The sequence below is a fragment of the Homo sapiens genome, chromosome 5 (assembly GCF_000001405.40).
Source record: "Homo sapiens chromosome 5, GRCh38.p14 Primary Assembly".
NCBI classification, from domain to species: Eukaryota; Metazoa; Chordata; class Mammalia; order Primates; family Hominidae; genus Homo; species Homo sapiens.
Window position 1 is genome coordinate 129525155 of NC_000005.10, and position 12920 is coordinate 129538074.

General features: G+C 35.2%; 1 protein-coding gene across 11 annotated transcripts in view; it reads left to right on the forward strand.

The window, feature by feature from the left end:
- ADAMTS19 (ADAM metallopeptidase with thrombospondin type 1 motif 19) overlaps window positions 1-12920 on the forward strand; it is a 278386-nt gene that overhangs the window by 64857 nt on the left and 200609 nt on the right. For all 11 annotated transcript variants that reach the window (XR_007058587.1, XM_047416876.1, XM_047416878.1 and 8 more), the window contains 3 exons: window positions 1130-1302; window positions 2594-2677; window positions 3366-3523. Coding sequence is in view for 10 of the 11 variants with exons in the window: in XM_047416876.1 (XP_047272832.1) it covers window positions 1130-1302; window positions 2594-2677; window positions 3366-3523 (415 nt within the window). In the remaining variant the exon portion in view is untranslated. The remainder of the gene's footprint in view (window positions 1-1129; window positions 1303-2593; window positions 2678-3365; window positions 3524-12920) is intronic.

Sequence of the window (12920 nt, forward strand, 5' to 3'; positions counted from 1 at the left end):
GATGGCTGTATGTTTTAGATCATTGATTAATAGGTATGCAAATATTCAACTTTAGTAGACCCTGCAAACTAGGTTTACAAAGTGTTTATCCCAGTTTAATCTCTCAGCGTGTATGCATATGATGCTTCTATTTGTCCCCACAGTCTTGTCAGCACTTGATATAGTAAGTGTCTTTAATTTTAACTTATTCCAGGGATTTTAATTTATTTAATGTATTTTGGTTTTAATTTGTATTTGCCTGAAGACCAGTGAGGTTAAACATTTTCCCATGCTATTAGGCATTTAGATATCCTATTGTGAGAAATGGTTGTTCAAGTTCTGCCCATTTTTCAATTAGACTGTCATTGATTTAGAATAGCTCTTTATTTCTTTATTCTGGAAAAGTATTGCAACTATCTTCTGTCACTTGGTGGCATGATTTCCACTATGATAGTGGAAATGTTTTAATAGAACATTAAACATTTAATAGAACAATAAAACATTTGGACATGTTTTAATAAACGGAAGTTCTTACTTTTTATGTAGGCAAACCTATACATGATTTTTGTTTCTGCTCTGATTTGGCTTCATTTGAGGAATCTATATTCCCAAGCAGTTATAGCTTCTGTAAGATCCTGATGGAAAGTGGAGCTGAATCCTTTGTAATTCATGCATAGTAATTTAGTAATCAGGAGCACCTGCCTGAAATTAGGATGTGTGGTGGCAGTCACTTCAGGCACTTCTTTCAACTAACAAGACCTTTATTTTGCCATTGATGTCAAAAAGAAAATTGCAGTATCTTTTATTTATTGAGTTATTTTGTTTATATTGGAGCTGTTTGCTAGAAATCTAATTAATGTGATCTTATTATAAGCCATCAACAACTCTGAAAGATAGGTGTTATCATTATCCACTTTGCAGATAAGGAAACTCAGGCTGACTGAGTGATGTTAGTTTGCTAAAATGGCAGAACTAATAAGTGGGAGAAGTTCAGTCTGTCTCATTCTAAAGTCATATTTCAAAGCCAAATGCCCTTTAAGATTTTATGTGTGTCGGGAACTTATTTGGGTTTGCTCATTATTAAATATGTTTAATATTATTCACTTTGCCAATATGAAGGTGCATTGAAAAATTCAATTCTCTGTTGCAGATAAAGGAAGACCTAGGTCTAGAAAAATAGCAGAAAGTGGAAGAGGGAAACGATATTCATACAAATTACCTCAAGAATACAACATAGAGACTGTAGTGGTTGCAGACCCAGCAATGGTTTCCTATCATGGAGCAGATGCAGCCAGGAGATTCATTCTAACCATCTTAAATATGGTAGGCAAACTTTAAAGTGCGCTTGGAATTTTTTCAAGAAAACTCTAAGGAAGACATGTGTGAGTATTTATAATGAAATTCTTTAAAATTAACTCATTACTATTCCTTTCTCTTATTGTCATCAGTAAAAAAATACTTAGGTATATAAAATTGATCCATCTCAAAAGCAATATCAAAATAAAAATTCACATCTTGTAAACCCTTGTTAATTTTGATGTGGCAAAGCTCTTTCTATGTTACTCTTTTCTCTCTTTTTTTGGTACTGTTCTTTTCCTTTTTTAAAAAAATGTTTCTAGCCCCATTTTATGTATGTATTTATGTCTGTCTGTATGTATGCATGTATTTATTTATTTATTTATTTTTTTGGTACATAGTAGATGTATATATTTATGGGGTACATAAGATATTTTGATAGAGGTATACTTTTGGTGAAATTATCATAAATATTTTAATATATGTTTATATATGTGGCCCCACAAAAGGACCATAGGTTAATTATGATGCGATATAAAAATGAATGTTGGTAATCCACTGACCTATTATATACGTATGTAAAATTTGATGTCAGATATGATTCTAGTTGATGAGCTAAAATTTTAACCAACTAAATCACAGGTGGCCTACTGGAGTTGATGATTTCTGATTGTAGAAATCCTAGTATCTATCATGTTAGGGATGCTTATTACCAGATTAATCCTTTGACTTAATTGTGTACTCTGTTGGGCAAACCTCATTCAAGGAAGAATCAGAAGGTTGTAGTGAAGAGTGATTCTTCAATGAGAATAAACAGAAATAAATGTTCAAGGCAAATGTCCATTTATAAGTCAATTACCATTTAAGAATGGCTGATGTAAGGATAAATATAGTCCCATTTTTTACTATCTTTGCTATCATTTGGCTGTTTTCCTGGGGAACAGAGTTTTTTTTTTTTTTACACTTTAGATATTTCTGTCCATATTCCATTACCTCCTGAGCACTCCTCTAAAATGCGATATGTGGTAGATTAACACTGCCTAACAACCAGTCTTTTCTAAGTAGAAATATCTCTGAAAGCATGGGTTTGGTGTGTCAGTTATATATTTTCTAATACAAGTTAAATCAATACTAAGTTTTCTTTTAAATTCAATGTAACAAATAAAAAATTACTTTGCTTTACAAGCTTTTTTTTTTTTTTTTTAAAAAAAAAAAAAGATGTCTCAACTAAATTGAGACATCTCCATGTATGGGCCTTGAGAAAAATTAAGATGATTTTCAGTTTAATTTTAGGATTTTTATTTTTATTTGTTTTTAGGTATTTAACCTTTTCCAACACAAGAGTCTGAGTGTGCAGGTCAATCTTCGTGTGATAAAGCTTATTCTGCTCCATGAAACTCCAGTAAGAAAGTCTTGAGTTTTTTATTAAATTAAATGGGGGAGAAATTTTGTTCAGAAACTTTTAAGTAAAGGGAATGTTAAGGATGTGCTTAAAAATCCAGAAATATCCACTGAATCACTTAAAGTATACATAAAACTGGCCTTTAGTTTTGGTTAATGCCCCGATCTTATTTAAAAAATAAGATGTCGTTAGTTTCCAAGAATCCTGAAAACAAATCTTAACTTTCCAAAGTATAATTTTAAGAAGTCATTTTAAGTGACAGTTTTATTCTATTATTTAGATGTCTACTTTTAACACTTTTTATTTATTTTAAATGGGAACTATTCTGTGACATCATTTTGATATGCTGCTTAACTGGCACTTTAGAAAATGGTGTTCTACATAGAAAATGTTGTTCTTAAATTGTAGAAACAAGTTATTTAAGTATAAAAGTTCCATATTCTTAATTGAACCTCTTTGCTTTTTCAGAATACCATTAAACAAATTTTGTAATTATTACACCTTCACCAAGTTTTAAGCTTTTAAGCTCAGGGTAAATTAAACCTGCATGTCTTCCAGGTTCTAATTAATGTTATGGTCAGCAGTTTGCTTTAGTAATTCAAGAGTGCCTTTGTTATTGTTGTTGTTGTTGTTGTTTTGTATATACCTAAGAATAATATGCCTTGTGATGAGCTCTGTTCTTTTGCAGCCAGAACTATATATTGGGCATCATGGAGAAAAAATGCTAGAGAGTTTTTGTAAGTGGCAACATGAAGAATTTGGCAAAAAGAATGATATACATTTAGAGATGTCAACAAACTGGGGGGAAGACATGACTTCAGTGGATGCAGCTATACTTATAACAAGGTAAATTTTCCAATGCCAATTAAATGGCATTCCTAATTCAATCACTGCACTGTTGATCCCATTAATCCCTTAATAGATAATGTTTTTATTTCAGATTTCGTGTTTCAAGAGTGATTTTGGCATAATGATGTTAGTCATCTCCCTCAAATCATAATAACTGATTTGTAAACAGCTAAATATTGGATGGCATATTGACAAAAAATTTGGTTAGTTAATTCTAAAAAATTACCCAAAATTTTTGACCTCAAAGGCATAGTCATTGATAATGATAAGCTAAAACTATGGTGAATTTTGTTGTAAGTTCCAAATTATGAACGTAGACTGTATGTTTTTCAGTCATCACCATATAAAGTAACCTAATATGTTAAATTCAGCAATTGAAAAACTTTCTGGCTCCATGTGAGAAACAATTTCAATTAAGTCTCTGACTGATTAATTATAAGCTACATTGTGAATGTACTACTAACAAATATTTTTAATATAGCATTAAGTATAATATGTAAATAAATGTAAGTGAAATAATGAGCAACAATATGCTCTATATGATTACTATATTTAATAATTATACATAATTTGTCTTGCTTAAAGCTGGTAAAAATAAGTAATTCATTGTGAACTAGCAATTTAATTTTAGTCATCAAAAGTGTTAGCGTTTCACATCACAGTAGCGTAAATTACACATGATTTTCTGAAATGAAATCATTGAAATCATTGTAGTTTCTTGTAATTAATACTAAAGGCAAATAATTCATAAGGTTGAAAAATCTCTATGCAGGAACACAATTGGACTTCTACTTTCGGCTAAGTAGGTAAAACTGTTACTGAGTTTCTGCAACAAGCAATCATAACATTGGAAAATAAGAAGTCACTGCTTTTAGTCATTGGAGAATGAACAGCATAAGACTGCAATTCCTGAAAGAAGGGAAATTTATTATGCAAACATCGCAGTCAACCCAGCTTTTTCCTTGGGAAAAAATTCTTAACTAGCGTAGCAAGCTAGAATCTAGGTAGAGCACAGTGATCCTGCTGAGGACACCATAGATAAAAGTCTTAGGCATGGAGAGGTGCCATGAAGTACGTGTGCTGACTGTACGTGAGAACTTGGCAAGGGCTGGTCTGAAGATAAACAGATAGAGGAAACTGCCCCAAATTTACCATAGGATTGCTGCTATGGAGTTCAGAATTTAAAAAGATAAGAGGAATAAGCAAATTCAAAGCACAAGAGTGGAACAATCTTGTGACACCTTATCAACATTTTTAGCCTTAGGGGAGACAGAGCTTGGAGGTTGAATACCACCAATTTACAGAGGCTTGGGTATCATCTTGGATTTTTGATAGATCTCCCCTACCAAAGAATAAAATCAAATTTATCCAAGTGCAGGATGATGAGCCAGTAATTGAACTGCCTCCTAAAACAGCTGTAAGCACTCTTCAGAGGAAGATAACAGAATAGCAAATCTCTAAAAATATATCATCCACAATGTCCAGAGTATAATAAAAATTAGTCAAGCAAAGAAACATGAAAATGTGACCCATGGTCAGGGAAGAATTAGTCAATAGAAACTGACCTCAAGATAGCCTAGATGTTGGATTTAGCAGATTAATGTTGTTGTAATTGGAGTCTCCGAAGGAGAGAGTAAGAATGGGTAAGAAAAATTATTTGAAGACATAATGGCAAAAATTTCTGCAAATTTGATGAAAGGCAACAAATATGGACCTAGGCACATCATAGGAAAATTGCTGAAAACCAAAGAAAAACATAAAAATTTCCATCAGCCAGTGGGTTGAGCGTTGTGGGGAGCAGAGGGAACATTGAACAGGAGGAACAATGTTCAAATAAATGACTGACTTCACATCCGAAAAACCATAAGTTCAAAAGACAGTGAAACAACATTTCTAATGTATTGAAAGAAAGTAAAATAAAGAAATCCTATCAACCAAAAATACTTATTGAGTTCTTGAGGTACTATCTTAATCTCTGAAAGGGTATCTATCGAAACATATATCTACAACTAATATCACAGCAAAAGGAGAAAACTGAACATTTTCTCCTTACAACTGAAAGCAAGGTAAGGATGTCCCCTCTTACCACTTCTATCCAATATCGTACTGAAGATCATAACCAGTGCAGTAAAGCAGGAAAAAAAAAAAAGGAAAAGCATACATATTTGGAATAAAAAGAAAAAATGTCTCTTATTCACAGATGATATGAAATGGTACAAAGAATATCTTAAGAAATCTAACAAAAATTTGCTAGAATTTATAACTGGGTTTTCAAGGCCACATCATGTAAAATCAGTTTTCAAAAACCAATTATGTTTATATATACTGGAAGTGAACAATTGGAAAAAAACTTATAGTGACTTCCAAAACCATAAAATACTTAAGAAGAATTTTAGTAAAATATGTGTACAACCTCTAAAATGAGAACTATACAGCACTCTTATGAGAAATTAAATATCTAAATAAAGATTAATTCATTGGAATACTAAATATTATTAAATGTCAGTTTTCTCCAAATTGATTTATAGATTCAATATACTCCCAATGAAACAACCTTTTCAGGCATGTTTTGTAGAAATTGACAAGCTGACTCCAGTACTAATTTGTAAAGGCAGAGGACCTAGAAGAATCAAAACAGTTTTGAAAAATAAGAACAAATTGAGGCCAGGTGTGGTGGCTCACACCTGTAATCCCAGCACTTTGGGTGGCTGAGGTGGGCAGACTGCCTGAGGCCAGGGATTCAAGACCAGCCTGCCTAACATGACAGAATCTCATCTCTACTAAGATTACAAAAATTAGCTGGGCATGGTGGTGCATGCCTGTAGTCCCAGCTACCTGGGAGGCTGAGCCACGAGAATTGCTTGAATCTGGGAGGCAGAGGTTGCAGTGAGCCAAGATTGCGCTACTGCACGCCAGCCTGGGCGACTGAGCAAGACTCTGTCTCAAACAAACAAACAAACAAACAAAAAAACCCCAAAATCTTCCCATTCTGTCACAGGAATGAAAATGTTTATATATATATATGTATGTATATGAACAAATTGGATGGACTTACACGATATGATTTCAAAACTTACTATAAAGGTTTGGAAATCAAGATAGTATGGTTTTGGCAGAAAGTCATGCAAATCAATGAAGCAAAATAAATGGTCTAGAAATAAACCCAGATATATAGGGTCAATTGATTTTTAATAAAGCTACCAACATAATTCAGTTATAAAAATAATCTATTCAGCAGATGGTATTAGAATACATCAAATGGTACAAATGGAATATCTGGACACCTTTGCGAAAAAAATGAGTATCAGTCCTATTTAACATGTGTAAAATTAATTCAAAAAGGATCACAGAATTAAACATGAAAGCTAAAACTCTATTGTAGCAAAAAAAATAACATCTTCATGAACAAGAGGAGGGCAATGATTTCTTAGATAGGGTAAAAAAAAGTACTAATCAAGAAATATTGACAATCATCTGGAATTTTTAAAAATGAAAACCATTTCCCATTCAAAAGATGTTACACCTTTTGTGAATTTGAGAAAATAGTTGTCATGCATATACTAACAAAGAACTTGTATCCAGAATGTTTACGTATGTGTGTATATACACATATACAAATACAAAAACATGTTAACCTTTTAAAAATAAGAAGAAGAAATATGAATCTCCAATAAGCATATAAAGAGATACTCAACATCATTAGTACTCAGGAAAATGCAAATTAAATTCACACCCACTTGAAAGGCTTCAGTTATAAAAATTGAAAATACTCAATGATGGTGAGGATATGGAACACTCCTCAGTTGTTGGTGGGATTATAAAATGGTTCAACCACACTGGAAAATGAGTAGTTTCTTATAAAGTTAAACATTTGCTTACCATTTAGCCCACATCCGCTTCTTAGATATTTACTTAAGAAAAATAAAAATGTTATTCACATAAAAAATTGCACTTGAAAATTTATAGAAGCTTTCATAATTTTTTTTCATAATTTTTCATAATTGCCAAAACTTATAAATAAATTTTCATCTACAGGTGAATGGATGTATTGTGTGATCATACAATTGAATACTCTTCATCAAACTGCTAATAAATGCAACCACATGGATGGATGAATATGAATATCATTATACTGAGGCCAGGTGTGGTGGCTCACGCCTGTAATCCCAGCAATTTGGGAGGCCTAGGCAGGCAGGCAGATCACTTGAGGTCAGGAGTTCAATATCAGCCTTGTCAACATGGTAAAACCCTGTCTCTACCAAAAATACAAAAGTTAGGCAGGCGTGGTGGCTTATGCCTGTAATCCCGGCTACTCGGGAGGCTGAGGCAGGAGAATTGCTTGAACCTGGCAGGCGGAGGTTGCAGTGAGTGGAGACTGCACCACTGCAATCCAGCCTGGGCAACAGAGTGAGACTCCACCACAAAAAAAAAAATTATACTGAGTGAAAAAGCCAAATTAGAAACTGATCAGAAGATGATTCCACTTATATAGAGTTTGAAAATAGGCAGAATTCATCTGTGGTGTGACAAATGTTCCCACCTTTAGGTGGGAAAACTGACTGCAAAAAGGCAGAAGGAACTTTCTGTAGTGCTGGAAATATTGCATATATTGCTTTGGATACATGTGGGTTTATACATTTGTCAAAATTCACCAATCTTCTCATTTAACTTGTGTATATTTTATGTAAGTTTTACCATAATAAAGTTGGTTAAGAGTAGTAAATTGGTAGTTTGTATTTCTGTGGGATCGGTGGTGATATCCCCTTTGTCATCTTTTATTGCGTCTATTTGATTCTTCTCTCTTTTCTTCTTCATTAGTCTTGCGAGTGGTCTATCAATTTTGTTGGTCTTTTCAAAAACCCAGCTCCTGGATTCATTGATTTTTTGAAGGATTTTTTTGAGTCTCTATTTCCTTCAGTTCTGCTCTGATCTTAGTTATTTCTTGCCTTCTGCTAGCTTTTGAATGTGTTTGCTCTTGCTTCTCTAGTTCTTTTAATTGTGATGTTAGGGTGTCAATTTTAGATCTTTCCTGCTTTCTCTTGTGGGCATTTAGTGCTGTAAATTTCCCTCTACACACTGCTTTGAATGTGTAACAGAGATTCTGGTATGTTGTGTCTTTGTTCTCGTTGGTTGCAAAGAACATCTTTATTTCTGCCTTCATTTCGTTATGTACCCAGTAGTCATTCAGGAGCAGGTTGTTCAGTTTCCATGTAGTTGAGCGGTTTTTGAGTGAGTTTCTTAATCCTGAGTTCTAGTTTGATTGCACTGTGGTCTGAGAGACAGTTTGTTATAATTTCTGTTCTTTTATATTTGCTGAGGAGTGCTTTACTTCCAATTTGTGGTCAATTTTGGAACAGGTGTGGTGTGGTGCTGAAAAGAATGTATATTCTGTTGACTTGGGGTGGAGAGTTCTGTAGATGTCTATTAGGTCTGCTTGGTATAGAGCTGAGTCCAATTCCTGGATATCCTTGTTAACTACCTGTCTCATTGATCTGTCTAATGTTGACAGTGGGGTGTTAAAGTCTCCCATTATTAATGTGTGGGAGTCTAAGTCTCTTTGTAGGTCACTAAGGACGTGCTTTATGAATCTGGGTGCTCCTGTATTGGGTAAACACCTCTACGCAAATAAACTAGAAAATCTAGAAGAAATGGATAAATTCCTCGACGCATACACTCTCCCAAGACTAAACCAGGAAGAAGTTGAATCTCTGAATAGACCAATAACAGGCTCTGAAATTGAGGCAATAATTAATAGCTTACCAACCAAAAAAATCCAGGACCAGAAGGATTCACAGCCGAATTCTACCAGAGGTACAAGGAGGAGCTGGTACCATTCCTTCTGTAACTATTCCAATCAATAGAAAAAGGGGGAATCCTCCCTAACTCATTTTATGAGGCCAGCATCATCCTGATACCAAAGCCTGGCAGAGACACAACAAAAAAAGAGAATTTTAGACCAATATCCTTGATGAACATTGATGCAGAAATCCTCAATAAAATACTGGCAAACCGAATCCAGCAGCACATCAAAAAGCTTATCCACCATGATCAAGTGGGCTTCATCCCTGAGATGCAAGGCTTGTTCAACATACGAAAATCAATAAACGTAATCCAGCATATAAACAGAACCAAAGACAAAAACCACATGATTATCTCAATAGATGCAGAAAAGGCCTTTGACAAAATTCAACAACCTTCATGCTAAAAACTCTTAATAAATTAGCTATTGATGGGGCGTATATCAAAATAATAAGAGACAAATCCACAGCCAATATCATACTGAATGGACAAAAACTGGAAGCATTCCCTTTGAAAACTGGCACAAGACAGGGATGCCCTCTCTCACCACTCCTATTCAACATAGTGTTGGAAGTTCTGGCCAGGACAGTCAGGCAGGAGAAGGAAATAAAGGGCATTCAATTAGGAAAAGAGGAAGTCAAATTGTCCCTGTTTGCAGATGACATGATTGTATATCTAGAAAACCCCATCATCTCAGCCCAAAATCTCCTTAAGCTGATAAGCAACTTCAGCAAATTCTCAGGATACAAAATCAATGTGCAAAAATCACAAGCATTCTTATACACCAATAGCAGACAAACAGCCAAATCATGAGTGAACTCCCATTCACAATTGGCTTGAAAGAGAATAAAATACCTAGGAATCCAACTTACAAGGGGTGTGAAGGACCTCTTCAAGGAGAACTACAAACCACTGCTCAATGAAATAAAAGAGAATACAAACAAATGGAAGAACATTCCATGCTTATGGGTAGGAAGAATCAGTATCCTGAAAATGGCCATACTGCCCAAGGTAATTTAGAGATTCAATGCCATCCCCATCAAGCTACCAATGACTTTCTTCACAGAATTGGAAAAAGCTACTTTAAAGTTCATAGGGAACCAAAAAAGAGCCCGCATTGCCAAGTCAATCCTAAGCCAAAAGAACAAAGCTGGAGGCATCACGCTAGCTGACTTCAAACTATACTACAAGGCTACAGTAACCAAAACAGTATGGTACTGGTACCGAAACAGAGATATAGACCAATGGAACAGAACAGAGCCCTCAGAAATAATGCCATATATCTACAACTATATGATCTTTGACAAACCTGACAAAGACAAGCAATGGGGAAAGGATTCCCTATTTAATAAATGGTGCTGGGAAAACTGGCTAGCCATATGTAGAAAGCTGAAACTGGATCCCTTCCTTACACCTTATACAAAAATTAATTCAAGATGGATTAAAGACTTACATGTTAGACCTAAAACCATAAAAACCCTAGAAGAACACCTAGGCAATACCATTCAGGACACAGGCATGGGCAAGGACTTCATGTCTAAAACACCAAAAGCAATGGCAACAAAAGCCAAAATTGACAAATGGGACCTAATTAAACTAAAGAGCTTCTGCACATCAAAAGAAACTACCATTGGAATGAACAGGCAACCTACACAATGGAGAAAATTTTTGCAACCTACTCATCTGACAAAGGGCTAATATCCAGAATCTACAATGAACTCCAACAGATTTACAAGAAAAAAACAAACAACCCCATCAAAAAGTGGGCAAAGTATATGAACAGACACTTCTCAAAAGAAGACATTTATGCAGCCAAAAGACACATGAAAAAATGCTCATCATCACTGGCCATCAGAAAAATGCAAATCAAAACCACAATGAGATACCATCTCACACCAGTTAGAATGGCAATCATTAAAGAGTTAGGAAACAACAGGTGCTGGAGAGGATGTGGAGAAATAGGAACACTTTTACACTGTTGGTGGGACTGTAAACTAGTTCAACCATTGTGGAAGTCAGTGTGGCGATTCCTCAGGGATCTAGAACTAGAAATAACATTTGAACCAGCCTTCCCATTACTGGGTATATACCCAAAGGACTGTAAATCATGCTGCTATAAAGACACATGCACATGTATGTTTACTGCGGCACTATTCACAATAGCAAAGACTTGGAACCAACCCAAATGTCCAACAATGAGAGACTGGATTAAGAAAATGTGGCACATATACACATGGAATACTATGCAGCCATAAAAAATGAAGAGTTCATGTCCTTTGTAGGGACATGGATGAAATTGGAAATCATCATTCTCAGTAAACTATCACAAGGACAAAAACAAACACTGCATGTTCTCACTCATAGGTGGGAATTGAACAATGAGAACACATGGACACAGGAAGGGGAACATCACACTCTGGGGACTGTTGTGGGGTGGCGGGTCGGGGGAGGGATAGCATTAGGAGATATACCTAATGCTAAATGATGAGTTAATGGGTGCAGTGCACCAGCATGGCACATGTATACATATGTAACTAAGCTGCACATTGTGCACATGTACCCTAAAACTTAAATTATAATAATAATTTAAAAAAAAGAAAAAAGAAAAAAACAACCCCATCAAAAAGTGGGTGAAGGATATTAACAGACACTTCTCAAAAGAAGACATTTATGCAGCCAACAGACACATGAAAAAATGCTCATCATCGCTGGCCATCAGAGAAATGCAAATCAAAACCACAATGAGATACCATCTCACACCAGTTAGAATGGCAATCATTAAAAGGTCAGGAAACAACAGGTGCTGGAGAGGATGTGGAGAAATAGGAACATGTTTACATTGTTGGTGGGACTGTAAACTAGTTCAACCATTGTGGAAGTCGGTGTTGCGATTCCTCAGGGATCTAGAACTACAAATACCATTTGACCCAGCCATCCCATTACTGGGTATATACCCAAAGGATTTTAAATCATGCTGCTATAAAGACACATGCACACGTATGTTTATTGCGGCACTATTCACAATAGCAAAGACTTGGAACCAACCCAAATGTCCAACAATGATAGACTGGATTAAGAAAATGTGGCACATCTACACCATGGAATACTATGCAGCCATAAAAAATGTTGAGTTCATGTCCTTTGTAGGGACATGGATGAAGCTGGAAACCATCATTCTCAGCAAACTATGGCAAGGACAAAAAACCAAACACCGCATGTTCTCACTCATAGGTGGGAATTGAACAATGAGAACACATGGACACAGGAAGGGGAACATCACACACTGGGGCCTGTTGTGGGATGGGGGAAGGGGGGAGGGATAGCATTAGGAGATATACCTAATGCCAAATGACGAGTTAATGGGTACAGCACACCAACATGGCACATGTATATGTATGCAAACCTGCACGTTGTGCACATGTACCCTAAAACTTAAAGTATAATAATAATAATGATAATAAATACACAAAAAAAGAAAAAAAAGAGTAGTAAATTGAAGTTGGTAGAAGGGATGGAAAGATTTGCATGGATGGAGAGGGGACTTATAAGGTTTGAGGTGAGTCTAGGTTAAACATTTGCATTGGTCAAGTCTTTC